This window comes from Homo sapiens, chromosome 19, assembly GCF_000001405.40.
Source record: "Homo sapiens chromosome 19, GRCh38.p14 Primary Assembly".
Lineage (NCBI taxonomy): Eukaryota > Metazoa > Chordata > Mammalia > Primates > Hominidae > Homo > Homo sapiens.
In genome coordinates, this window is record NC_000019.10 from 12646512 (window position 1) to 12671488 (window position 24977).

Below are 24977 nucleotides of genomic sequence, written 5' to 3' on the forward strand. Positions count from 1 at the left end.
TGAGTCTTAGTAGTAGCGTTTTAATGGCAGCAGCCCCAAGAGGAGAGTCAGAGTCTGGTCTGCCCCCGGAGCAGGAGGCTTGGGCTTGGAGGGCCCATCCCAGCAGACCTAACCATCCACCTCCTTCCATTGAACTGAGGCCAGGAAAGTGCGGATTTCCATGGGTTCCAGCGTGATGTTGGCCGGGTCCAGCTGGTACGGAGTTTGGTGGGGTGTGGGGCCTGGAGAGGTGCAGGGGGAAGGAGGAGTGAGGAGGTGCAGACTTCCTCTGACTCACCCCACGATGCTTCCTCCCCTGGGTCTAGACACAGCTGCATATCCCCGAATCTGTCTCCAGGGCCTCAATCCCAGACTCTTAACCTGCTTCCCCGGCCCCGAATACCACCCCCAGGTCCAATGTCCTCATACCCTCAATCTGGCCACTGTCCTCGTACCCTCAATCTGACCCCAGGGGTGATGAACACCCTCCCAGAACTAGACATGGATGGGGATTTTCAAATCTTGTTCTTGGGACTAAACAGCACCCACAAACCTCAAGACCCATTCCTGGTTTGCCGCACCCATTTCAGATCCTTTAAGCCCCTAACCTGGGTCTGGACTCTGCCCCATACCCTCATGACCTTTTTGGGTCCTGGCCAACATCCCATGCCTCACACATTGCCCCCACCTGCCGGCCCCAGGTAAGACTCCACCCCTTCCCTACCCCTGACCAGGGCCCCACCTGTGTTTGTTGTCCACTTGAGCCTGGAGGCTGCCTCGCGGAGCTGGTTGGCCACCAGCGTGGTCTCCTGCAGGCGGGTGATGGTGAAGGTGGAGAACAGGTCCTGCGGGGAAGGGGATGGGCCCAGATGAGTTGGGGCAAAGCCAGGTTTCTCTTCTCTCCCTCTCTCTTGCCTCTCTCCGATCTCCTTCTCAATTTTGCCCTTCTCACCCTCAAGTTCAAGGTAACGGGGGCGCTCAGGTTACGTCCGGAATCCTCTCCTACGGCAAACTGGTGCTCCAAGCGCAGCAGCACCATTTCGGGGCCCCAGCTGGCCAGCGTGAGCAGGTGCACCGAGGGCGGCAGGTCCCTGCGCAGCCCTGAGAACTGCGGGAGAGAGGGCGGGGCTGAGTTGGAGAGGGGCGGGGCCTGGATGGAGAAGGGCGGGGCCGAGCCAGGTCAGGAGGCAGGGCTAGGTTGTAGGGGCGGGGTTTCGCCGGAGAGGGGCAAGGCTCAGCCGAGAGGAGCGGCCAGGGCCGTGACAGGGAGGACTGAGCCAATGGGGAGATGGGTCGGTCCCAAGCTTAGGGTTCGAGTCCCGATGGAGCAGAACTGATGTGACCTGAGACTTTGGGAGTTACGGCGGGGCTGAAGCCGCGGGGCTGGGTGAGGCAGGACAGAGCCTGGGGGCGGTGAGAGGGCGGGGCTAAAGTGAAATGGGCGGGGCCGGAGGTGAGTTGGTGGTTTAGGGGCATGAGCTAGGGCTGTGCCTCTACACAGTCCAGGGGGGTTGGGACTGGGCTGGCACTGGGCGGGGACTGCCCAGGGGATGGGGTTGGCCCGAGGGTTTGGGGCTAATTATGGCCAAATGGATCCCCGCTGAGCCTAGGAAACTCCGCACCCAAACCCGGCTCCCTGGTAGACTTCAATCCGGTCCTCTCTGCCTACCCCGCTGCCCCTCACCTGCGTGCGCGGAGGAGCCCCGAGATTGTAGGCGGCGCCGCCACCCGGGGCCAGCACCACCTGAGGGGCCAGGACCTCCTGCTCCGCCAGGAGCCGGTGTCCGGCGGCTGCAGCCTGGGCTGTGTCCAGCAGCACCAGGTGGCGCCCTCGCACCCACGCCCCCGACCCGTTCTCCATTAGTGGCTCCGATACTCCGCGTCCATCGTCCTTCAGCAGCCTTCGGTGCACCTGGGGGGAGAGTGGCCAGGAGGGGGTGAGAGTCGTGGGTTTGTGGGTGTCCTTGGGCCAGAAACTGGGTAAGGGCGTGTGGGAATGTCAAAAGAAATTAAAGGGTGGGAGGAACGGATGAGGATGAAGGTGAGGGTCTGGTAGGGCAACCCCAGCAGAGGCAGGATCCAAGTAGGCATGGGAACCAGGCCGGAAGGAGGTAAATGCCTAACAGGGGGGCCTGGATATGGCACGCCAGAGCGTGGAGGGAGCCTGGGCAGGAGATGGAGAAAAACGGAGAGGAAAAGCCACACACAGAAATGGAGTCCTTGGCCGGGAGCGGTGGTTCACGCCTGTAATCCCAGCACTTTGGGAGGCCGAGGTGAGTGGATCACCTGAGGTAAGGAGTTCGAGACCAGCCTGGCCAACATGGTGAAACCCCATCTCTACTAAAAATACCAAAATTAGCCGGGCGTGATGGTGTGTGCCTGTAAGCCCAGCTACTCGGAAGGCTGAGGCAGGACAATCACTTGAACCCAGGAGGCAGAGGTTGCAGTGAGCTGAGATAGTACTATTGCACTCCAGCTTGGACAACAAGAGCAAAACTCCGTCTCAAAGAGAAGAAAAGAAAGAAACGGAGTCCTCAGCTTAGTGGGGCCTGAAAGCAGAGAACTGGGCCAGAAACAGCCTTCAAGGTCCAGCAGGGGTCCAGGTTGGGAGGACCCTGGCTCGGATGGGGCTCTGACCCACTCACCATGAGCTCCAGCGAGCCATCTCTCAGGCTGCTGCCCCCCTGGGAGCGGTCAGTCAGCACAGTCAGCTGCATGTTTCCATCCTGGGAGTTGAAGGGTGAAAGTAGAGGGCAGTCAACCCCAACCCCAGGCAGCTTTGAGATGCTGCAGATAAGGGGTGATTCCCTTTCTATCGAGGTGGGGAGGTGCAGGATGGGGGAGAGCTACCGTGATGTAAATCCGGGTGTTGACTGGATAGTAGTTTCCTGCCACGGGCTCCGTCTGGTTCAGTTTCCAGGTGGGTCGATAATCCCGCCTGGGGTTGGGGGTGAGCTGATCAGGCTTGGGATCTGGCTCCCCAACTCTTTTTTTTTTTTTTTTTTTTTTGAGATGGAGTCTCGCTCTGTCACCCAGGCTGGAGTGCAGTGGCGCGATCTCGGCTCACTGCAAGCTCCGCCTCCCGGCTTCACGCCATTCTCCTGCCTCAGCCTCCCGAGTAGCTGGGACTACAGGTGCCCGCCACCACACCCGGCTGATTTTTTTGTATTTTTAGTAGAGACGGGGTTTCACCATGTTAGCCAGGATAGTCTCGATCTCCTGACCTTGTGATCTGCCCGCCTCGGCTTCCCAAAGTGCTGGGATTACAGGCGTGAGCCACTGCACCCTGCCTGGCTCCCCCGCCCTTCACTCTCCCTTCGTCCTCTGTCTCCCACACTCATGTAATCAGCAAATTTCCCTCACCACCCCTGGGCCCCAACACACCACAGACCACCCCCTCAGTGCTCTCAGTCACCCCCCACCTCCTCTCCAGGATCTCCCGGCCATTGCTGTCTGTGTAGAAGCGTCCCTTTGTCTCCAGCGGTGTGTCAAAACGGCTGATGACCTCCTTCCCCCAGGTGTCGCTGTACCCAATGGGATGGCAAGGTTGTGAGCCTTGGATAAACCCCTCTGCCCTTGCTTCCACACCCCTCTCCCAGCCTGTGCCACTCACCCCACAGGTATCGGCCCCACCGACCACTCTAGCTCCAGGTGCCGCTGTCCTGGGTACAGGCGAACCACCTGGGAACACCAAGCTGAGAAGTTCTGGTGCACCTCCTGCACCAAGGGTGTCTGCGGGCACACGGGTGAGGTGGATGTCAGTCTGTACCTGAGCAGAGGTGAGTCCTACAAATGTCCCCCAACCCTGGCCATAAACCCCATTAAGGCCTACATCAAGGTCAACCTTCAGTCACCGCCACATAATTCTTTTTTTTTTTTTTTTTTTGAGACGGAGTCTCGCTCTTTTGCCCAGGCGGGAGTGCAGTGGCGCGATCTCGGCTCACTGCAAGCTCCGCCTCCCGGGTTCACACCATTCTCCTGCCTCAGCCTCCCGAGTAGCTGGGACTACAGGCACCCGCCACCACACCCGGCTAATTTTTTGTATTTTTAGTAGAGATGGGGTTTCACCGTGTTAGCAAGGATGGTCTCGATCTCCTGACCTCGTGATCAGCCCGCCTCGGCCTCCCAAAGTGCTGGGATTACAGGCGTGAGCCACCGCGCCTGGCCCACATAATTCTTTTTTCTTTTTTTTTTTTTGAGACAGAGTTTTGCTCTTGTTGCCCAGGATGGAGTGCAGTGGCACAATCTTGCCTCACTGCAACCTCCGCCTCCTGGGTTCAAGCAATTCTCCTGCCTCAGCCTCCCGAGTAGAGGGATTGCAGGTACCTGCCACCACCCCTGGCTAATTTTTGTATTTTTAGTAGAGACGGGGTTTCTATCCATGTTGGCCAGACTTGTCTTGAACTCCTGACCTCAGATGATCTGCCTGCCTCTGCCTCGCAAAGTGCTGGGATTACAGGCGTGAGCCACTGCACCCGGCCTCTTTTTTTTTTTTTTTTTTTGAGACAGGGCATCACTATGTAGGCACCTAATCAGCAAATGCTCCCACCTGGTCTTGAACTCCTATGCTCAGCGATCCTCCTGCTTCAGTCTCCCAAAGTGCTGTGATTACAGGCATGAGCCACTGCATCTGGCTTACCACATCACTCTTGAGCGTGGCATAAACGCCTCCTGTTCACCATTGCCCCATAGAATAGGATTCTAGCTTGGCACATGGCTACCTGGGATAAAGACTATATTGTCCAGTCTTCCCTGAGGCTATCAGTAGCTGAGTGACCAGTTTGCCCCATAGAAAGTGATCCAAGTGGTGTCAACAATGTTCCTTGCCCCTGTCCCTCTGCTACTGACTCAAACACAAATGTGGCGGCTGGAGCTTCAGCAGCTATCTTGGACCATGAGGTGGAAACTGAATATTGGGGAAGGCAGAGCAACAAGATAGAAGAGGAGGTCCTGGGTGATTATGGAACCACCCCACTTTCTCTGGACTAACAGCCAGACTTTTTGTTAGAAGAAAATAATCTTCTATCTTATTCTAGTCACAGTTAATTTGGGTAACTCTGTTAGAACAGGCAAAACTATATACAGATATGCAGACATTCATCTCAAAGGGACTCACATGAAACGCGAGGCTCTTGAATGTGGACAAATGTGAGTTTTGTCATCTATGAAAGTCAAACATCAATGAGAGGCCCTGGGAAACCACTGTTCCTAGCCAGATGCACCCATAGGCATTCACCCTGAGACTCACCCAAACCCAATCAATCCAAGGGTGGACTCTCAAATATTCACTCCAGATAGAAGCTCCTCTTACTACAGACTTTGGTGAATTCTTCAAGCAGTGATATTTGGCTCTCCTGATTCATGGGCCAAGTGGGAATGCCCCACCCCCAATTTCCAAAACTAAGTATGTAAACGTCCACAGCAGATGTGAATGGCTTTGTATGATGTGTCCTATGGGGAGACTCTCATACGACCAGCTATGAATATCAATTCTATGGAAGGACCCTCAAATATTTCCCCCGCTGATCTGTGGGTCTTAGCCCACTGATCTGAAGGAAAAGTAAATCCTCCCCTACCCTCACTCTACACATGGCCCACCACCCTCTTGGGCTCCATAACTTCCCCATTCCCAACTGCCCACTCATCATTCCTAGTCCCTGACCTTCACCAGGTGGATCTGAGCCCAGCGGCTCACAGGCAGCGGTTTCTGTTGGTTGGGTCTGAAGATGTAGGCACCTGAGGCCTGGTCACTTTCGTTGTCACCTATACTGGCGTTGTACCTGGAGTTGGGGCAGGTGAGAGTCAGGTAAGGGGCCCTAGCTCCATGCCGAGCACCACCACCCCACCCTCAGGCCTGGTGATCTTCCCTTACCAGAAGAAGGTCTGGCGAACAGGCAGCAGGAGTTGCTGATTCATGTTCATAATCTCCATCAACAGCCCTGTGTCAGGATCAAACGTTGCCCGGATGTGCTGGGCAGAAAAGGGTCCACAGATGGGTTTGTGTGTGTATGTGTGTGTGTTTTCTTTTTTTAATTTTTCTTTTTTCTTTTTTTTTTTTTGAGACTGAGTCTCACTCTGTAGCCCAGGCTAGAGTACAGTGGTGCAATCTTGGCTCACTGCACCCCCCACCTCCCGGGTTCAAGTGATTCTCGTGCCTCAGCTATCCAAGTAGCTGGGATTACAGGTGCCCACCACCCCGCCTGGCTAATTTTCATATTTTTAGTAGAGACAGGGTTTCACCATGTTGGCCAGGCTGGTCTCAAACCCCTGAACTCAAGTGATCTGCTCACCTTGGCCTCCCAAAGTACTAGGATTACAGACATAAGCCACTGTGCCCAGCCGGATTTTTATTTTTTTTTTTTGAGACAGAAACTTGCTGTGTCGCCCAGGCTGGAGTGCAGGGGCGCAATCTCTGCTCACTACAGCCTCTGCCCCTGGGTTCCAGCAATTCTCCTGCCTCAGCCTCCTGGGTAGCTGGGATTACAGGCACATGCCACCATGCCTGGCTAATTTTTGTATTTTTAGTAGAGACGGGGTTTCGCCATGTTGGTCAGGCTGGTCTCCAACTCCTGACCTCAGGTAATCCACCCGCCTTGGCCTCCCAAAGGGCTGGGATTACAGGCGTGAGCCACTGCACCTGGCCTGGGTTTTTTGTTTTTTTTTTTTTTTTGAGACTGAGTCTCGCTCTATCGCCCAGGCTGGAGTGCAGAAAGTGGCGTGATCTTGGCTCACTGCAACCTCCGCCTCCCGGGTTCAAGCAATTCTCCTGACTCAGCCTCCTGAATAGCTGGGACTACAGGCACATGCCACCACACCTGGCTAATTTTTGTATTTTTATTAGAGACAGGGTTTCACAATATTGGCCATGCTGGTCTCGAACTCCTGACCTCATGATCCACCCCCCCCTCAGCCTCCCAAAGTGCTGGGATTACAGGCATGAGCCAACACGCCTGGCCCCTTTTTTTCTCAATTTAAAATTTTTTTAGGGCCGAGCGTGGTGGCTCACACCTGTAATCCCAGAACTTTGGGAGACCAAGTTGGGTGGATAACCTGAGGTGAGGAGTTTGATACCAGCCTGGCCAACATAGTGAAACTCCATCTCTACTAAATTAAAAAAAAAAAAATTTAAATTTGTTTTCTAGAGATGGGGGTCCCACTATGTTGCCTGGGGCTAGTGTCCAACTCCTGGGCTCAAGCAGTCCACCACACCCAGCCATTCAACCTGATTTTTTTTTTGTTTGCTTTTGAGACAGAGTCTTGCTCTGTCCCCCAGGCTGGAGTGCAGTGGCATGATCTCGGCTCACTGCAACCTCCACCTCCTGGGTTCAAGTGATTCTCCTGCCTCTCCCTCCCGAGTAGCTAGGACTACAAGTGTGTACCACCACGCCCAGTTAATTTTTGTATTTTTGGTACAGACGAGGTTTCACTGTGTTGGCCAGGCTGGTCTCAAACTCCTGACCTCAGGTGACCTGCCAGCCTCAGCCTCCCAAAGTCCTGGGATTACAGGCATGAGCCAACGTGCCCACCCCAGCCTTTTCTTTTTTTCTTTTTTTTTCTTTTTTTTTTTTTTGAGACGGAGTCTCACTCTGTTGCCCAGGCTGGAATGCAGTGGCGCCATCTCAGGTCACTGCAAGCTCCGCCTTCCGGGTTCACGCCATTCTCCTGCCTCAGCCTCCCGAGTAACTGGGACTACAGATGCTCGCCACCACGCCTGGCTAAATTTTTTGTATTTTTGTAGAGTCAGGGTTTCACCGTGTTAGCCAGGATGGTCTCCATCTCCTGACCTCGTGATCTGCCTGCCTCGGCCTCCCAAAGTGCTGGGATTACAGGTGTGAGCCACCGCGCCCGGCCCCCCCAACCTTATTTTCAACCTCACCACCTCTTACCAGGGCCTTCCAGGGCCAGTGCAGTCAACCCCTTCCAGGTCCCTGCACTTCCACACTGGCTGCCTACAGTCTGTTCCCCACAACAGCCAGAGCACACCTGTGATACCCTAAGTCCCATCAAAGCCCTCCTCTGCTGCGGACCAGGGCCAACTTGGGCATCTGATGTGTGAACCACAATGCCAGAACTCACAAGACTTTTAGGGGCCTGTGGGAACGTTTTAACTTCTTTTATTTTATTTTAATAAAAATATGAAAAAGATGTTTTCTTCCTAACATGAACAGTCCTACTGCAGAACTTCTTTTATTTTATTTTATTGAGACAGGGTCTCACTTTGTCACCCAGGCTGGAGTGCAGTGGCATGATCTCGGCTCACTGCAACCTCTGCCACCTGGGCTCAAGCAATCCTCCTTCCTCAGCCCCCAAGTAGCTGGGATTACAGACGTGTACCACCACCCCCAGCTAATTTTTTGTAGAGACTGGGTTTCACCATGTTGCCCAAGCTGGTCTCAAACTCCTGAGCTCAGTAGATCCACCCACCTCAGCCTCCCGTGGTGCTAGAATTACAGGTATAATCCACGATGCCTGGCCTATTTTATTATTATTCTTTTCAGACAGGGTTTCACTCTGTTGCCAGGATGGAGTACAGTGGGACAATCATTACTCACTGCAACCTCGAACTCCCCAGCTCAAACAAACCTCCCATCTGGGCCTCCCAATTAGCTGGGACAACTCCTGGGCTCAAGTGATCCTCCCGCTTCAGCCTCCCAAAGAGCTAGGAGTAGACACATGAGCAACAATGACTGGCAAAAGCCAAAGTCTTCCTGTTGGTCCTCAAGGCCCTCAAGGTCTGACCTGTCACCCGTTCACCCTGCTTCAGCCACACTGAGCTCCTTGTGGCTCCTGGAATTCTGCACACTCTCCTGCTCGAAGGCTTTTATGCCTGTTATTCTCTCCCCACCTGGATCTCTCTTCCTTCAAATAGCCACACGGCTCCCTCCCTCAGGTCATATCTTAAATGTCACCTTTATCGGGAACACCTTCCCTGAAACGTCCCTGCCAAAATTGCGAACCACCACCTGCCACCAACTCTGACATGTCTGTCAAGTGTCACCCATGATCACACTGGGTCCTCATAACAGTCCCAGGAAAGGACACTGAGGCTCAGACAAAGGTCACTTGCTCAAGGACACACAATGAGGGGAGTTGTGACAGGAGGTCATAAGCCTAGGGACCTGCTGACCCAGAGTCCACACAGCTCACCATGACACTTCAAATTTGTCACAGGAGCAGGAAAGGGGATTGAAATGGGGTCTCACCTCATTTTCGATGGTTAAAGCAGGGGACCAGGATCTTCTGGGGATGGGCTGTGGTGCGCGGGCCTGGGGCTTCCAGCGAGGCACCTGGGCTACTGAATAGGTGCTGAAGCCCAGGGCGGGCAGTGAGGCTGAGAACAGCAGCTCCGGAGGGTGCGCCTGGCTGTCTGAGCTGGGAAATATTACCACCTCGGATAAAGGAGGAGGGAAACTGAGTCAAGAGTACCCATGGAAAGCTATACATGCATGGAGACAAAAAACTCAAGGAAGGAAAAGAGTCCTGAGATGGGGAAAGGAAATGGAGGTGTGTGTGGTGGGGGGACAGTCAGATTCCAAGGAAATGATTGCAGAGAAGATTCACCAGGTGGAAAAAAAAACCCACCGGGAGGGTGGAGAGACCATGGAGTCGGGGGAGTGAAGGAGGAAGTAGGGGAAGAAACCCTTGAGGCAGGTTCTCGGGGGAGGAAGAGGTTTGGGGGAGGACGTTTTCTGGAATGAAGGAGATGTCCATAAACAGCAATAAATTTTCCTGGGGAAGCGGGGTATTAAAATGGAGGACCAGCCAGGCACGGTGGCTCATGCCTATAATCCAGCAGGCGGAGTTTGAAGTGAGCCAAGATCGCGCCACTGCACTCCAGCCTGGGTGACAGAGCGAGACTCCGTCTCAAAAAAAAAAAAAAAAGGGAGGACCACTCACAGGAGGCATATGTTCCCAAGGGGAGACTGATATTAAGGGGCAGAGGGAGAAGATACAAGAGGGGGGAAGAGATATGCATGAGTGGGAGGTATTCATGGAAGCAGGCGATATCCATGGGGGCGATGAGGAAATGCCCACTGGGGGAGGAGTCCCAGCGGGGGAATATTCGTTGTTTGGGCTCACATCGCTGGGCACTGTCCTGCCATTGGGGTCCTTCACAACGAAAACGCCTTCGCTGACCGGCAGCCGTACCATCCAATTCACCTTCCGCCCCAGGGGATTATAAACGATGACCTGGAACTGGGGAGGCGGGGGTCAGAGAGGGCATGGGTCACAGCAGGCCTTCTCCAAACCCACCCACTTTGCACAGAAACACCCCTGGCTGGTCCTAGTGTGGTCACGGCACTTAAGGCCAAGCCCCCTCGAGATGCGTTGTTCTCTCTGCTGACCCAGCTTCGCAGCCCACGTAATTTCACTCCTGTATAGTCCTCCAAAAACATTTTCCAACTACCCCCTCTAAAGCCCATCTGCCCTAGATCCACCCCTCCCGTCCCGGCTCACGCGCGCCGCCGTCTGGCTGAGCGGGCAGATGCTGATGTTTAGCTGTTGGCAAAAGGTGAAGTGATCTTTGAAGCCTCTGAGCCGCGCCAGCGCGTTGCTCAGAAGAACCTGCGGAAGAGCGCAAAGGGACCGGTGGGTTCAGGACGCCAGGCCTGACTCCTCCCCTCTCCTCAGGCCCCGCCCCGTTCCGGTCTCTGTCCCGCCTCCCTCAAGAGTCGCCCCAAAACCCCTTCTAGCCCCACCCTGCTGCCCTTGACTATACCCCATAGCTGTCTCCGCCTCCTCTTGCCCACGCCCCGCCTCCTTCCCCCCTCCAAAGCCCCGCCCCGTTCCTGTATCTTTCCCCGCCTCCTACAAGCCCCGCCCCCACGAGCCCTTGTAGCCCCGCCACAGGGCTCTCGGCTACGCCTCACACCTGTCTCTGTCCCCTTTCCCAGGCCCTGGCCCCGCCCCTTCCTGTCTCCACCCCCGTGTCTCCCAAGTCTCGCCCCGCGCACCTCGCAAGGCCCCCAGCCTGCCGCAAGCTGGCGCGCGTAGTCGTTGGCCACGTGCTGGCGGGAGGTGCCGCTGACGGCGTCGTGATGCTGGAGCACAGCCATCGCCTCATCTGCTCATAGACAATGAGTCCGGTGAGGTTCTGTGGGACTCAGCTGAGACCCCAAGGGGAAGCGAAAGGTCCGGTGCTGGCGGGCAGGATTCTTAGAGGCTTTAAGAAGGAACTCGAGGACGGCTGGGGGCGGTGGCTCACGCCTGTAATCCCAGCACTTTGAGAGACCGAGGCGGGCGGATCACGAGGTCAGATCGAGACCATCCTGGCTAACATGGTGAAACCCCGTCTCTACTAAAAATACAAAAAATTAGCCGGGCGTGGTGGTGGGCGCCTGTAGTCCCAGCTACTCGGGAGGCTGAGTCAGGAGAATGGCGTGAACACGGGAGGTGGAGCTTGCAGTGAGCCGAGATCGCACCACTGCACTCCAGCCTGGGAGACAAATCGAGACTCCGTCTCAAAAAAAAAAAAAAAAAAAAAAAAAAAGAAGAAACTCGAGGGGGGCGGCCTAGGGGTGGTTTCCAACTTCAGCCGCAAACCTCTTCCCCTCTTGGGCCCGACACTTACTGAGGGGTGCACTGTCTCCGGAGCCATAGGGTCCCACGTTGGCCGCCAGGCCCACCAGCGCCTCCAGCTGGTTGCACACCTGGAGGCAGAGGGGTATGTTGGGGCGCCCAGCCTGTCGGGCCTCGGGGCTGCATGCCCCCTCTAGCCCGGCTCCTACCCACCTGCAGGAAGTTGTAGCTGAGGCGCTCGTAGCGTTTGAGGGCCGGCCGACTGGAAAAGTAACCGGTCCAGAACTGGTGGGGGCCATCCGCGTAAGGGAAGAAGTCGTCATGTTTCACTGACCTACAGCGGCAGGGGCATTGAGGGCAGGGTCATGACCCACGGGGCATGCCAACCCCCCCAAGCTCCCCAGTTTCCCCAAATACCAGGTGAGGTTGGCCTTGTTCAGCTCCCAGAGGTAACAAGCGGGGGTGGAGTAGAGAACATGGACACTGCTTCCTTTTGCCTGCTGCTGGGGGAGGCGACGGAGTGAGCCCTCGGGAGTCCGCACCTTCCTGGGGGCCCACACTTCCACACATGTGTGCACATTCATGCATCCCATAGGTTCAGTTTCTCTAAATACATATTTGGCGTGCAAGCCAATGGTTGGGTGTGAAAATGAATTTTGGCTGAAGTCAAACATGACCACTAGCCTTTTTTAAAAGGATTTCAGAGATGCAAGAATAAACCTGAAATTTTACTAAACTTTTACAATAATTCCAACTTTATTATTAAAAACTTTTGTGGAAAAACTAAGTGTGACATTATAGGGCAGGAATAATCGTTTTGCAGGACTGTCAGATTGTTACCAAAAAACACAACTTTTTTTTTTTGGGACGGAGTCTTACTTTGTTGCCCAGGCTGTAGTGCAGTGGCTCAATCTCAGCTCACTGCAAGCTCCACCTCTTGGGTTCACGCCATTCTCCAGCCTCAGCCTCATGAGTACCTGGGACTACAGGTGCCCGCCACCACACCCGGCTAATTTTTTGCATTTTTTAGTAGAGACGGAGTTTCACCGTGTTAGCCAGGATGGTCTCGATCTCCTGACCTCATGATCCGCCCGCCTCAGCCTCCCAAAGTGCTGGGATTACAGGCATGAGCCACCGTGCCCGGCCTAGACACAATTTTTATAATGAATGGAGGTGCACTTTCACCTGAGCAAGGTGGAGGAACAAGAAAGTGACCTATGTGAGGAAAAGGATGTTTGTTTTGCACGAGCTGTGTCCCCCAATGTACACAGTAGGTGCTCAATAAACTTTTTTTTTTTTTTTTTTTTTTGAGACTGAGTCTGACTCTGTCGCCCAAGCTGGAGTGCAGTGGCACGATCTCAGCTGGCTGCAAACTCCGCCTCCCAGGTTCCAGCGATTCTCCTGCCTCAGCCTGCCGAGTAGCTGGTCTTACAGATGAGTGCCATCACGCCCACCTAATTTGTAGTATTTTTAGTAGAGACAAGGTTTCACCATGTTGGCCAGGCTGGTCTCCAACTCCTGTCTTCAAGTGATCCGCCCACCTCAGATTACAATCCCAACACTTTGGGAGGCCAAGGCGGACGGATCACCTGAGGTCAGGAGTTTTGAGACCAGCCTGGCCAACATAGTGAAACCCTGCCTCTACTAAAAATACAAAAATTAGCCAGGGTTGGTGGCACATGCCTGTAGTCCCAGCTACTTGGGAGGCTGAGGCAGGAGAATCACTAGAACCCAGGAGGCAGAGGTTGCCATGAGGCAAGATCATGCCACTGCACTCCAGCCTGGGTGACAAAGCAAGACTCTTGTCTCAATAAATAAATAAATAAATAAAATTTTAAAAAGAAAAAATAAATAAAAATAAATGACATAAAAGAGCTGTTTTGGTGAAATAGCAGTGCTGGGAGCGAGTGGAAGGTGGGAATGGAGATTGCACCGTAGTGAGGACAAGATTGATGGGAAGGGGTGTCTGAGATGGGAGAGGGGAGACAAGTTTCTGTGCTGATGAGAGTGACTGACTGTGCACACAGCCACAGCCACAGGCCACTTAGTGCAAAACACTAACACATCTGTGTTGGGTAAAATGATAACTGCCCAAAAGTGTCCATGTCCTGATCCCCAGAACCTATTACCACATTAGATTACATGGCAAAAGGGGAATTAAGGTTGCAGATGGAATTGAGGTTGTTCATCAGCCAAACTTAAAGTAGGGAAATTAGGCCACACAGTGGCTCACATCTGTAATCCCAGCACCTTGGGAGGCCGAGCGGGGTGGATCACGAGGTCAAGAAATCGAGACCATCCTGGCCAACATGGTGAAACCCTGTCTACTAAAAATACAAAAATTAGCTGGGCGTGGTGGCACGCGACTGTAGTCCCAGCTACTTGGGAGGCTGAGACAGAAGAATCACTTGAACCCAGGAGGCGGAGGTTGCAGTGAGCCGAGAGCACGCCACTGCACTCCAGCCTGGGCGACAGAGCGAGACTCCGTCTCTAAGTAAATAAATAAAATGTGGAAGAGAGAGGCAGAAGAGGTGAGAATGAGAGAAAGGGATGTGATTACAGAAACAGGGTCAGAAAGATGCTATGTGGCTGGCTTTGAAGATGGAGCCAAGAATAGATTTTGAATGTGGGTAACTTCTAGATGTTGGAAAAAGCAAGGAAATTATATTCTCTCCTAGAGACTGCAGAAGGAACACAGCCTTGCCAACACCTTGATTATAGCCTGGTGAGACTCAGGCTGGATTTTTTTTTTTTTTTTTTTTTTTTGAGACAGAGTCTTTCTCTGTGGCCCAGGCTGGAGTGCAGTGGTACAATCTCCGCTCACTGCAACCTCCGCCTCCCGGATTCAAGAGATTCCCCTGCCTCAGGCTCCCGAGTAGCTGGGATTACAGGCACGCACCATCACACCCAGCTAATTTCTGTATTTTTAGTAGAGACAGCGTTTCACCATGTTGGTCAGGCTGGTCTCGAATTCCTGACCTCGTGATCTGCCCGGCTCAGCCTCCCAACATGCTGGGATTACAGGCATGAGCCATTGCGCCCGGCCTCATGCTGGACTTCTTACCTACAGAACTGTAAGACAATGTATTTCTGTTGTTTTGAGCTGCTAAGTGTGTGGTCATTTGTTATAGAATGACCACAATAGAACAATAGAAAACAAAGACAGCACTGAGAGCTATGCACATAACCCAAGGCCCCCGGATGCAAGCGCACATGTGCACAAGGGTACCACAGGGTAGGCGCACTGACCTGCGCATTTACCAGCCGGATGAGCTTGTCAAGGTTCTTGAACCACATGTTGGCATTCTCATATTGGAAGTCCGAGCCCATGGTCATCACAGTGTGGTTGGTGCGGTAATACCGGCCCTGCAGGCAAGAGGGGAGTCCTGAAGCCAGAGGATCCTGGGCCATCCCTGTGTATAGCTGTGTTTTGATGTATATGGGGTCAAGGATGTTGGGTGCACAGGCATGGGTGGGGGTATGGCACTTGGGAGCGTGGGGACACAGATAAAAGTAGCCACCAGTTGTTGAGCAGTTCTCTTGGACCCACTACCTAGAAGAGGGCATCCAGTCACCATGCCATGCTATCTCTTGCCCAGCCTATGCTATCTCTTCTAATGAGGAATGCACATAAATCCAGGAGGGGGACATTGTGATGGTGAATAGAATAGCATCTTCCTCCAGGGGGCATGAGAACATGATTACAGGGGCTCACACCTGTAATCCCAGCTACTCAGGAGACTGAGGCAGGAGGATCGCTTGAGTCTAGGAGTTTAAGACCAACCTGGGCCACACAGCAAGACCCTGTCTCAAGAAAAAAAAAAAAAATTAATCTAAAACAATTTTTTTTTTGAGACAGAGTTTCACTCTGCTGCCCAAGCTAGAGTGAAGTGACGTGATCTCGGCTCACTGCAACCTCCACCTGCCAGGTTCAAGCGACTCTCTTGCCTTAGCCTCCCAAGTAGCTGGGATTACAGGCGTGCGCCACCACACCCGACTAATTTTTGTATTTTTAGTAGAGACAGGGTTTCGTCATTTTGGCTATGCTGGTCTTGAACTCCTGACTTCAGATGATCTGCCCATCTCGGCCTCTCAAAATGCTGGGATTATAGGCGTGAGCCACCATGCCCAGCCATCAATTTTTAAAGAAAGGAAAAAAAAATTTTTTTAAGGAGAACGTGTTATGCCAGGCATGGTGGCTCACACCTATATCCTAGCACTTTGGGAGGCCAAGGCAGGAGGATCACTTGAGTTCAGGAGTTTGAGACCAGCCTGGGCCACATGGTGAGACCTTATCTCTGTGAAAAAATAATGTTTTTTAATTATAAAAATGTTAAAGGCTGGACGCGGTGGCTCACGCCTGTAATCCCAGCACTTTGAGAGGCCAAGGCTGTGGGTCAAAAGGTTAGGAGTTCGAGACCAGCCTGGCCAATATGGTGAAACCCCCTTTCTACTAAAAAGACATAAAACTTAGCCGAGCATGGTGGTGGGCACCTGTAATCCCAGCTACTCGGGAGGCTGAGGCAGAAGAATCGCTTGGACCCAGTAGGTGGAGGTTGCAGTGAGCCGAGATCGTGCCACTGCACTCCAGCCTGGGCGACAGAGTGAGTCTAAAAAAAATAAAAAAGGAATTCTCAATAAAAATGTTAAAAATAGACTAGGCACAGTGGCCCACACCTGTAATCCCAGCACTTTGGGAGGTTGAGGCGGGCAGATCACCTGAGGTCAAGACCAGCCTGGTCAACATGACGAAACCCTGTCTACTAAAAATACAAAAATTAGCTGGGTGTGGTGGCAGGTGCCTCTAATCCCAGCTTCTTAGGAGGCTGAGGCAGGAGAATCGCTTGAACCCGGGAGGCGGAGGTTGCAGTGAGCTGAGATCATGCCACTGCACTCCAGCCTGGGTGACAGAGCAAGACTCTGTCTCAAAAAAAAAAAAATAATAATAAATAAATAAAAATGTTAAAAATAGAGGCCAGGTGCGGTGGCTCATGCCTGTAATCCCGGCACTTTGGGAGGCCGAGGCAAGCAGATCACTTGAGCTCAGGAGTTTGAGACCAGCCTGGACAACATGATGAGACCCCAGTGCAAAAATACAAAAATTAGCTGGATGTGCTTGTTTGAACCCAGGAGGCAGAGGTTGCAGTGAGCCGAGATCGCACCACTGCACTCCAGCCTGGGTGACAGAGTAAGACTGTCTCAAAAAAATTAAAAATAAGGAGAACGTGTTAGGGGATGCCTGTACCATGGAAAGAGCTCATTGTATTGTATATACCGGACTCGAAGGTTCTGGACACCAGGGTTACCTGGGCAGTGGCCACATTTAGGAAGTAATCGACCAGCTCCTTGGCGTTGTACTCGGGGCTGCGAGGGTCCTCCACCAGCGGCTGATCGACACACAGCACATCCCAGCACAGATTCCTTGGCGGGTTGTAACCATTGGGAAGCACACCTGCAGGTCACACCAAGTTCAAGGGGTGGCCCATCACCCAGACCTTCCCTGGTTTCAAAGCCGGCCATGTCCCACCCAGGATGGGCTTCAGAATTTGTGTCCCAATGCAAAAGGAAATGCAGGGCCTTTGTTCCCAGACTATAGGAATTCCAGGACAGTGACAACAGAGCAGATATCAAGCCCAGGGCCCTTCTGAGTGTGTGGCACCATGGCTGGCCCTGCCCTCACCAAGCCCCCTACCAGTGAAGAGGTCCGCGGTCGGGGGCTTCAGGCTGGTGCTGGCCCGCCACACCTGCTCCATCTCCAGCTTCTGCATCCGTACCCACTTATCTTGATAATCAAGGCGCCCAAAGAAGAAGCCGTCGAAGCCCATCTGGGGATGAGGGAGGAAAAGGCAGTGTGAATTAGTGCCCAGCCCTCTCACCACCAAACTCCCCTCTGCTTGGGAGGGGCAGGTCAGAGCACAGGTTAAAAAGCAGTGCTAGGTCGATGTGGTGGCTCTTGCCTATGATCCCAGCCTTCTGGGAGGCCAAAACAGGAGGATCACTTAAACCCAGGAGTTTTTGAGACCAGCCTGCACAACACGGGCAGACTGTCTACAAAAAATTTAAAAATTAGCCAGGCGTAGTGGTGCGCTCTTGTAGTCTCATCTACTAGGGGGGCTGAGACAGGAGAATCGCTTGAATCCGGGAGATTGAGGCTATAGTGAGTTAGGATTGCACCACTGCACTCCAGCCTGGATGACAGCAAGACCCTGTCTCAAAAAACAAAAACAAAAACACGTAGGGCTGAAACAGAGAGGCCTCCAGCTTATTTCCAAGCTTGGGGAAGTTTCAGAACTCACCACCTTGGGCTAGCAGGGAGAGGGCGGGTCCAACATCAGAACCCAGGTTCACCTCCCCAGCACTGTCAAAGCGCAGAGCAGGCCTGACTCCAGGAATGAGGTTCCCCCTTCCACAGCCTGAGGATGGATGGGGTCTGAGCACAGGTAATGAACCTGTTTTTAAGGCAGCCTAGGCATCCACTTGCCACCCGGTTTAGGGAGGAGCCAGGACCCGAGCTAGTGGGTGGGGCCAGAACACCAAGAGGGGCCTATTAGGGGAGAGGGCGGAGCCAGCCGGAGCTGGGTCAGCCTGGGCTGGGCATAGCCGGCTGAGGCCAGAGCTCAAAAGCCACTGGCTTTACGGCTCACTCAAGGGGCAGGGCTTCAACAGGCCTAGGCCTGGGCCTGGTCCTTGTGAGATTGCAGGGAGAGGGCGGGGTTTGACTGGGCGAGGGAGGAGCCAGAGTGAGTGAAGAAGTGGGCCCAAGAGAGGTCCCGGGTCGCACCTGCGCAAACAGCGAGGCCTGCTCCCGAGAGTGGCCGAAGGGGTCAATGTGCCAGGCCACACGGGGTCGCCCATCATTGCCAAATGTGTCCTCCAGAAAGCGCAGCCCAAGTGTCATCTGGTCCACGATGGCACCGTAGTGGGTGGCTGCCTCATCGTTCATCACCCAGCCACCATTGGCGAACTCCAGGCGCCCTGTGCCAGGACAGGCAAGGTCAGGGTCAGCGGTCAGAGCCAGGAGTGGGAGTAGGGTGGGTGATACTGGGAATGTGAAAGCCTGCCTGTGTACACATTTCTGGCGGAAGGACAAGAGGGGTCGCTCCCAGGCCATAGTTCCCAGATATGGGAAAGAGGCCCCCTGCATGGCAGGCTTCCCAGAGGATGCACAGCAGGTGGGGCTTTGTGGGATGTATAGGAGGTCTCCAAATGGAGAGTCCAGGCAGGCGGAGCGACACGCATGTTATACAGCTTGCACGTGGCATGACAAATCTCAGAAACCAGAGATGCAGAAGCAGAAGCTGGGCTGGGCTTCCTCTTTTCACTTCCTTGGGGTAGGCTCACCCTGGCGCACAAGGTCTCGCACGACTTCCTGTGTGGCATTTGTCTGCTGGTGCCACCAACGGGAGAAGAAGGCAATCTCCACGTAAATGAAGCGACGGGTGGGATCTGCCAGCAAGGCAGAGATGACCGAGTCCAGGATGTACTGCACACCGGCGTGCTGGATGTCATTCTTGACTGTGGATAACAGGGATAAGGCTCTCAGGGAACAGCAGAGCCAAGGGGGTTATTCCTAGACAGAGGAGCCCAAACCCTGGATATTAGGGTAGCACTGGCCCCACCCTAATGTCCAGGACCCAGAGGGATTACAGGGACCATGGGGATCCCAGGGACCAGTCCCCATCCTCTACTCACTTCCATAAAAGTACTGGTCCACGGTTTTGAGCCAGCCCACGTCATCATGTGTGTGAGGCAGCAGGTGCACGTTCAGCATGTTCGGCTGCACTGTGGGGCATGTCTGCACAGGGACCCCAAACACACATACCTTGTCAATAACCCCCGAGGTCGGGGGCTGCAGAGTAAGTCTTGATCTAGAGGTGAGTGACTCAGAGAGGCCTGATCTCGCCTATGTGCAGAGGAGGCCAGGCCCTCCCAGGCAGGACACACACATACATAGTTGTGCTCATAGATACAACTCCACTTTGCACAACCCCACAGGGCAGCTCTCATTCACACTCCGGGAAAATAATAATAGAAGTAGCTGATGTTTGTTCAGCATTTGCCGACAGCAGACGGCCACCGTGGGAGGTGGGGTGATGTTATCCCCAGTTTCCAGATGAAGGCACTGAGGCTTAGAGAGGATAGGTGACTTGCCCAACGTCACACACTCAGGAAGTGTAAGAGCTAGGCTGGAATTTCAGGCAGACTCCAGAGTCCCAGCTCTCAGCCAGCACCTCCCCCCACACATACACTGCTCACCCCCTGCCACCTCCTGCCCCTCCAATCCCACAGTTAAGTGCAGACAAAGTCTAGGCAAGCATCCCGGAGACACGGAGGCAGGTACAATCAGACACAGTCCTATACTCAGATGCGCACAGCCAGACCTCGCAATGACACAAAGCACGCACTCAGACCACACTGTCATATCATCAGCCATTCACTAGACACCCACAGGACAGACCCACCCACACCTCTAGACTGTATTCTGGGTTTCACTCTGCCTCCTGTACGTTTCAGCTCGGAGGCCCCACTCACCTCGTATCCCCCGGCCCGAGCACCGGCAGCCGCCAGCAACAAAAGGAAAAAGCAGAGAGGCGGGAGCGGTGGCCGCAGGGCGCGGGACATGGTCCAGGGGCCTGCTGAGTCCAGGCAGCCGCGAGCGCAGACCCCCGAAGCCCGCGCGTAGGCGCCCATGGCTCAGCAGCTTCCTCCTGGGGTTCCCCGGCCCTGGAAAGGCCGGGCAAACGCCCCGCCCCCAGACCCGGCCGGGCCAATCGGGGTGGGGGGCGGGGCCAGGGCGCGGTCTGGAGGCTCACGGGAGAGAGGCTGTAGCCCTGGGCAATCCCGGGGGTCGTTACAGGAAGGTAGGAAAATGCCACCCTCAGGGCACTGGTTGGGCTAAAGGTGACACTGGCGTCTCACGGGCTATGAAGACGGAATGCCTCTTAATGCCGGAATTCCAAGACGGAATGCCTCTTAATGCCGGTAGGAGCAGAAGTGCTTTTCCTAAGGGGGCCGGGTTTTCCTAGCCGGTGTAGTGTGTCCATGGGAATCCAGGGTGTCCGTCCCATGGACCTTCAGCGCTAGGGTCCTGGAAGGACCTAGCTTGCCTAAGAGGAGGATCTGATGAAGAGTCCTATACTGTGGGGATTGGGACGTTGGGTAAATACCCCTGGAGTACCAGGGATGGGATCCAGCCTGGTTGAGAAGGATCCCTGGGTGTTCCGGAGAGAAAAGAGGGTCTGACAAGTGGGGAAGGACCCCGAGTCTTTCATGCCTTTCCCAATTCCTACCAGTTCATTCTCTGATAAGAAAACAAAGCCCAGGGCAGGCGCAGTGGCTCAAGCCTGCAATCCCAGCACTTTGGGAGGGCCAGGCTGGTGAATCACTTGGGCCTGGGAGTTTGAGACCAGCCTGGGCAACATGGGTTGTTTTGTAGAGACGGGTTTGAAAACACAAAATTTGTAATTTTACACAAAATGTAAAAATACAAAAATTAGCTGGGCATGGTGGCACATGCCTGTAATCCCAGCTACTTGGGAGACTGAGGCAGGAGAATCACTTGAACCTGGGAGGCGGAGGTTGCAGTGAGCCGAGATCAAGATCATGCCATTGCCCTCCAGCCTGGGCAACAAGAGCAAAACTCTGTCTCAAAAAAAACAAGAATTAACTGGGCATGGTAGCACGCATTTGTGGTCCCAGTTACGTGGCAGGCTGAGGTGGGAGGATTGCTTGAGCCCAGGAGTTTGAGGCTGCAGTGAACATAGATTGTGCCACTGCACTCAGCCTGCATGACAGATCAAGACCATTTTCTTTCTTAAAAAGGAAAAAAAAAAAAGGAAACCAAAGCCTAGATTATCTAGGTCAGCAGGGCCATCTGGTGAGTTGCCAGAGGGCAGAAGTCACTGTCTTGTCCCTAGCACCTGACTTAAGACACAAGGTTTATGAAGTAAGCAAATGAACAGCCAGAAGCCTCCAGACTGGGGCCCCACACCAGGCCTATGGGGCTAGAGCCCTTCCCGCCAGGTAGGAGGAACACCCCACTGAACAGAAGAGGCTGACAGCCAGAGTGAAAAACTTTATTAACAACAGGTTTCAACGAGAAAGCAAATGAATACCCCTAGAAACATGGACAGCATCTCCCCCAGCAGCAGGCAGGGGAAGGGAGGCAGGAGGGGTAAGCCTAGGGTGTTCCCTAGGAAAGGGCCAGGTTCCCTCTATCCAGCTGGGGGCACCGAGACGGCCTCATTCAGGGAAGTCCAGGATGGCAGCTGAAGGCAGCAGGTTTAGCAGCCAAAGCCCAGGCCTAGTGGATAGACAGGGTCCAAAATGTGACCCTTCTAGGCTGGTATCACCATGGGGGCGTCATGGGCTGAGGATTCTGCAGATAGGACATCACCACGGCAGAGATGGACAGCCTGAGACAGGAGAGAGGTGTCAGTCTAGGATGGCCAGGCTGGGGTCCCCCCACCCCTTACTCAAGAGTCACTTGTTCTGTAGGGCAAGTCTCACATGAAGCTACTCATCATTTGCTTCGTGTCCTCCGAGCTCCGAGAGTTGGCAAAGCTGATGAAGGAGCAGTAGACAGCGACCCAAGCACACCACTTCAGCTAGGGAAAGGTAAGTGGGTGGGCAGGTTAGTGAAAGGCACAACAATGAGTCCCCGAAGCCACCTTTCCAGACACCAGATCATGCCCACTGATTCCATCTGATGCAGCTGGGACCTTGCCCCACCCGGAATTCCTCAGTCCCACCTGCTCATGGCATACTCTAGATACGTGGTTTCTAGTCCTACTGTCTGGCCTGCGTCTCTCAGGACCAAGAGAGACTCTGACATCCCACATGCTTAAGACCCTGCCCTTTTTCCACAACTCCTCTCCAAGTTGCTTCAAAGCCTGGCCCCACTCGCAGACCAATCTGCCACATCCCCAACCTGACTCGAATCCTTGACTTCACCAAAGACTGGGGCTTTCTCGGCCCAGCGTCATCGCAGCCCCACTCCCGGCCGATCTCAGGTCCCGCCCCATCAGCAATGACAAGACACCCCGCTTCATTCCAAACCCGCCCCCGGGCCTCGTTCTCAGGTCCAACTACACCCATAGAAGCTCAACCCCGCCCACCTTAAGCATGAGGCCGCACATGCTGAAGATCATGCCCAGCAGGTTCATGTAGTCCGGCGTCGGGTCGTCCAAGGCCGGGTTACATTCGCTCGGCGGGGGCTTGTACCTGCGACAGGCTCGAGGGTCAGGGGCGCTCAGGTCCTGCCCCCGGGATAGACAGGCGCTTCCCAGGGCCCCGATCCACACCCACAACCCGAACCCGTGCCCACGACGCTGGGGTCCTCACCTCAGCACTTTGTTCGGCCTCCGTGGGTCCGACATATTGTTAGTGGACATAGCGAGTCGAAGGCCAGATCACGCCTCTTCCGCTGCAGGAATCGCAGCTTCCGGCGTGCAAGCTGAGGGCGGATTTTAGAGTAACACCCGAGGCCCTCGCATTTCCGTTCCTCATGACAGAGGCTTGGACTCCCCTTACCCAGAGAACGGAGATTTAGGAGAAGCCAGAAGTCTTCCTTTCAAAGGGAAAATGGGGAAAAGAACCTGAAAGCGGGCTTCAATAGTTCCAACCCGATCACCGAAATGCCAAAATGATGAACCCGGAAGTGATAAACAGGAAGTAGGTCAGGAAGAACAATAATAAGGTTACACCCAAGCGTGGGTTTCTAAGGCGCGGAATTTTCCGTACAGACCGATTTAAGGCTGCAAGGAAGGAGTCCTGGGAGCATGGCTTTCCCTGAGCCAAAGCCGCGGCCTCCAGAGCTGCCGCAGAAACGGTTGAAGACGCTGGACTGCGGGCAGGGGGCAGTGCGAGCCGTACGATTTAATGGTGAGCGCCTTCGTCTTCATTCCGGGTCCTCCTCCCGCCTCCTGAGATCGACGGCCCAGTAACCCCCGCCTGGTGTTCCCCAGTGGATGGCAATTACTGCCTGACGTGCGGCAGTGACAAGACGCTGAAGCTGTGGAACCCGCTTCGGGGGACGCTGCTGCGGACGTACAGCGGCCACGGCTACGAGGTGCTGGATGCGGCCGGGTGAGCCGGGGACCAGGCTGGGATGGGAGCGCTGAGGCTGGGATCCGAGGTCGATGCTGATCCTCCTCCTCCTTTACTCCAGCTCCTTTGACAACAGTAGTCTCTGCTCCGGCGGCGGGGACAAGGCGGTGGTTCTGTGGGATGTGGCATCAGGGCAGGTCGTGCGCAAATTCCGGGGCCACGCAGGGGTGAGTGAAAGCCTGGAGACCCTCATTTGAGTGGAGGGGACCCGTATTAGCGCATAGGTGGTGACACGGCCACCCCCATTACACCGTAAGGATCCCTTCCCCAGATGACGATCCCCCACTCCGCATGCCAGGCTAGGCAGTCACCAACCCCTGTCCTTGCTGTTCCCCCAAAACCTTTCACCTCCCCTTCGCCCTTGCTTTAACCGACACTGGGAACCCTGCCTTTATCCCAGTCCTCCAAAGTCCAGCCTCCTCTGAGTGGCAATAACTTTCTCAGAAGGTGAACACGGTGCAGTTTAATGAAGAGGCCACAGTTATCCTGTCCGGTGAGTCTGGGGCCTAAGCACGGGGGCCCAGGGTGCTGCCCTCCCCCTCCAAACCTGACCTCACCATCATGCTGGCCTCACAGGCTCTATTGATTCCAGTATCCGCTGTTGGGATTGCCGCTCACGGAGGCCTGAGCCAGTGCAGACGCTGGATGAGGCCAGAGATGGCGTGTCCAGTGTGAAGGTGTCAGACCACGAGATCCTGGCAGGGTGAGTGGAGCCAGGACCTGGTCTCACCCCAGGTGCTACGGGGAATCATAGCTGCCCCCATGCTCAGATTAAAACCTACTCTCAGCTGGGCACAGTGGCACACAGCTGTAATCCCAGCTACTTGGGAGGCTGAAGTGGAAGGATCACTTGAGTCCAAGAGTTCGAGGCACCATTGCACTCCATGCTGGGTGAAAGACAGACTGTCTACAAAATAATAATAATCTGGCCGGGCACGGTGGCTCACACCTGTAATCCCAGCACTTTGGGAGGCCAAGGTGGGCAGATCACTTGAGGTCAGGAGGTTGAGATCAGCCTGGCCAACATGGTGAAACCCCGTCTCTACTAAAAATGCAAAAATTAGCCAGGTGTGGTGACGGGAGCCTGTAATCCCAGCCACTCGGGAGGCGGAGGCAGGAGAATCGCCTGAACCCGGGAGTTGGAGGTTGCAGTGAGCCGAGATTGTGCCACTGCACTCCAGCCTGGGCGACAAAGTGAGACTCCATCTCAAAAAAAAAAAGATAAAATGATTTCTAAAAATAAATAAAAATAGGCCGGGCGCTGTGGCTCATGCCTGTAATCCCAGCACTTTGGGAGGCAGAGGCAGGCGGATCATGAGGTCAGGAGATCGAGATCATTCTGGCTAACACGGTGAAACCCCGTCTCTACT

General features: G+C 54.4%; 3 protein-coding genes across 8 annotated transcripts in view, besides 15 other annotated features; 1 reads left to right on the forward strand and 2 right to left on the reverse strand.

Moving 5' to 3' along the window:
- MAN2B1 (mannosidase alpha class 2B member 1) lies at window positions 1-20231 on the reverse strand. Of its 4 annotated transcripts, none has more exons than NM_001173498.2 (24): window positions 20032-20231; window positions 19192-19294; window positions 18841-19014; window positions 18281-18474; window positions 17192-17324; window positions 16806-16951; window positions 14749-14865; window positions 11917-11996; window positions 11713-11833; window positions 11552-11630; window positions 10935-11044; window positions 10438-10545; window positions 10060-10176; window positions 9183-9368; window positions 5852-5949; window positions 5642-5759; window positions 3593-3711; window positions 3402-3503; window positions 2830-2917; window positions 2625-2705; window positions 1664-1891; window positions 932-1087; window positions 722-824; window positions 1-221 (listed from the first exon to the last, which is right to left on the reverse strand). In NM_001173498.2, exons 1-24 carry the CDS (start codon window positions 20188-20190, stop codon window positions 109-111), a joined length of 3033 nt encoding a protein of 1010 aa, NP_001166969.1. In that variant the 5' UTR covers window positions 20191-20231; the 3' UTR covers window positions 1-108. The 4 variants fall into 4 exon arrangements, with proteins under 4 accessions (NP_001166969.1, NP_000519.2, NP_001427499.1 ...); NM_000528.4 differs by having other exon boundaries at window positions 11917-11999; NM_001440570.1 differs by having other exon boundaries at window positions 11917-12002.
- Window positions 1006-1075: an enhancer, noted in NCBI's record as "active region_14063". NCBI's record gives its function as "activates an Ori minimal core promoter by ATAC-STARR-seq in GM12878 lymphoblastoid cells {active_cell/tissue: GM12878}" and the evidence as "EXISTENCE:reporter gene assay evidence [ECO:0000049][PMID:35858748]".
- Window positions 1316-1415: a silencer, noted in NCBI's record as "silent region_10155". NCBI's record gives its function as "represses an Ori minimal core promoter by ATAC-STARR-seq in GM12878 lymphoblastoid cells {active_cell/tissue: GM12878}" and the evidence as "EXISTENCE:reporter gene assay evidence [ECO:0000049][PMID:35858748]".
- Window positions 10810-11010: a silencer, noted in NCBI's record as "peak3365 fragment used in MPRA reporter construct". NCBI's record gives its function as "represses an SCP1 promoter by STARR-seq MPRAs in K562 erythroleukemia cells {active_cell/tissue: K562}" and the evidence as "EXISTENCE:reporter gene assay evidence [ECO:0000049][PMID:32103011]".
- Window positions 17901-18849: an enhancer, noted in NCBI's record as "H3K4me1 hESC enhancer chr19:12775226-12776174 (GRCh37/hg19 assembly coordinates)". NCBI's record gives its function as "activates a minimal SCP1, AML or CMV promoter by ChIP-STARR-seq in naive H9 embryonic stem cells {active_cell/tissue: H9 hESC(naive)}" and the evidence as "EXISTENCE:reporter gene assay evidence [ECO:0000049][PMID:30033119]".
- Window positions 18674-18723: an enhancer, noted in NCBI's record as "active region_14064". NCBI's record gives its function as "activates an Ori minimal core promoter by ATAC-STARR-seq in GM12878 lymphoblastoid cells {active_cell/tissue: GM12878}" and the evidence as "EXISTENCE:reporter gene assay evidence [ECO:0000049][PMID:35858748]".
- Window positions 18850-19797: an enhancer, noted in NCBI's record as "H3K4me1 hESC enhancer chr19:12776175-12777122 (GRCh37/hg19 assembly coordinates)". NCBI's record gives its function as "activates a minimal SCP1, AML or CMV promoter by ChIP-STARR-seq in primed H9 embryonic stem cells {active_cell/tissue: H9 hESC(primed)}" and the evidence as "EXISTENCE:reporter gene assay evidence [ECO:0000049][PMID:30033119]".
- Window positions 18850-19843: a biological region, named in NCBI's record as "H3K4me1 hESC enhancer GRCh37_chr19:12776175-12777122".
- Window positions 18864-18913: an enhancer, noted in NCBI's record as "active region_14065". NCBI's record gives its function as "activates an Ori minimal core promoter by ATAC-STARR-seq in GM12878 lymphoblastoid cells {active_cell/tissue: GM12878}" and the evidence as "EXISTENCE:reporter gene assay evidence [ECO:0000049][PMID:35858748]".
- Window positions 19454-19503: an enhancer, noted in NCBI's record as "active region_14066". NCBI's record gives its function as "activates an Ori minimal core promoter by ATAC-STARR-seq in GM12878 lymphoblastoid cells {active_cell/tissue: GM12878}" and the evidence as "EXISTENCE:reporter gene assay evidence [ECO:0000049][PMID:35858748]".
- Window positions 19564-19693: an enhancer, noted in NCBI's record as "active region_14067". NCBI's record gives its function as "activates an Ori minimal core promoter by ATAC-STARR-seq in GM12878 lymphoblastoid cells {active_cell/tissue: GM12878}" and the evidence as "EXISTENCE:reporter gene assay evidence [ECO:0000049][PMID:35858748]".
- Window positions 19714-19843: an enhancer, noted in NCBI's record as "active region_14068". NCBI's record gives its function as "activates an Ori minimal core promoter by ATAC-STARR-seq in GM12878 lymphoblastoid cells {active_cell/tissue: GM12878}" and the evidence as "EXISTENCE:reporter gene assay evidence [ECO:0000049][PMID:35858748]".
- Window positions 20094-20373: a silencer, noted in NCBI's record as "silent region_10156". NCBI's record gives its function as "represses an Ori minimal core promoter by ATAC-STARR-seq in GM12878 lymphoblastoid cells {active_cell/tissue: GM12878}" and the evidence as "EXISTENCE:reporter gene assay evidence [ECO:0000049][PMID:35858748]".
- WDR83 (WD repeat domain 83) overlaps window positions 20296-24977 on the forward strand; it is a 9026-nt gene continuing 4344 nt past the window's right edge. The window contains exons 1-7 of one of the 3 annotated variants that reach the window (NR_029375.2): window positions 20296-20481; window positions 21997-22116; window positions 23244-23382; window positions 23466-23569; window positions 23669-23774; window positions 24052-24100; window positions 24184-24310. Coding sequence is in view for 2 of the 3 variants with exons in the window: in NM_001099737.3 (NP_001093207.1) it covers window positions 23280-23382; window positions 23466-23586; window positions 23669-23774; window positions 24052-24100; window positions 24184-24310 (506 nt within the window). In the remaining variant the exon portion in view is untranslated. Of the gene's footprint in view, window positions 20482-21996; window positions 22117-23241; window positions 23383-23465; window positions 23587-23668; window positions 23775-24051; window positions 24101-24183; window positions 24311-24977 lie in introns of those variants that run through there. The other 2 variants (NM_001099737.3, NM_032332.4) reach the window with 2 other exon arrangements.
- On the reverse strand, window positions 21562-22904 carry WDR83OS (WD repeat domain 83 opposite strand). Its single transcript, NM_016145.4, has 4 exons — window positions 22843-22904; window positions 22617-22722; window positions 22009-22106; window positions 21562-21914 (listed from the first exon to the last, which is right to left on the reverse strand). Exons 1-4 carry the CDS (start codon window positions 22890-22892, stop codon window positions 21848-21850), a joined length of 321 nt encoding a protein of 106 aa, NP_057229.1. The 5' UTR covers window positions 22893-22904; the 3' UTR covers window positions 21562-21847.
- Window positions 23373-23462: an enhancer, noted in NCBI's record as "active region_14069". NCBI's record gives its function as "activates an Ori minimal core promoter by ATAC-STARR-seq in GM12878 lymphoblastoid cells {active_cell/tissue: GM12878}" and the evidence as "EXISTENCE:reporter gene assay evidence [ECO:0000049][PMID:35858748]".
- Window positions 23603-23692: an enhancer, noted in NCBI's record as "active region_14070". NCBI's record gives its function as "activates an Ori minimal core promoter by ATAC-STARR-seq in GM12878 lymphoblastoid cells {active_cell/tissue: GM12878}" and the evidence as "EXISTENCE:reporter gene assay evidence [ECO:0000049][PMID:35858748]".
- Window positions 23852-24525: an enhancer, noted in NCBI's record as "H3K27ac-H3K4me1 hESC enhancer chr19:12781177-12781850 (GRCh37/hg19 assembly coordinates)". NCBI's record gives its function as "activates a minimal SCP1, AML or CMV promoter by ChIP-STARR-seq in naive and primed H9 embryonic stem cells {active_cell/tissue: H9 hESC(naive and primed)}" and the evidence as "EXISTENCE:reporter gene assay evidence [ECO:0000049][PMID:30033119]".

Bases quoted from the DNA above. Each gene is read 5' to 3' on its own strand.
- WDR83OS (NM_016145.4), bottom strand. From the start codon at position 22,892: ATGTCCACTAACAATATGTCGGACCCACGGAGGCCGAACAAAGTGCTG. The intron at 22,723-22,842 runs GTGAGGACCCCA...AGCCTGTCGCAG, and splicing joins AGGCCGAACAAAGTGCTGAG to GTACAAGCCCCCGCCGAGCG. The intron at 22,107-22,616 runs GTGGGCGGGGTT...ACCTTTCCCTAG, and splicing joins TGTGCGGCCTCATGCTTAAG to CTGAAGTGGTGTGCTTGGGT.
- MAN2B1 (NM_001440570.1), bottom strand. From the start codon at position 20,190: ATGGGCGCCTACGCGCGGGCTTCGGGGGTCTGCGCTCGCGGCTGCCTG. The intron at 14,866-16,805 runs GTAACCCTGGTG...TCTTGCCTGCAG, and splicing joins TAAATGTGGCCACTGCCCAG to GGCCGGTATTACCGCACCAA. The intron at 222-721 runs GTGGGGCCCTGG...GCACCTCTCCAG, and splicing joins CAAGTGGACAACAAACACAG to GCCCCACACCCCACCAAACT.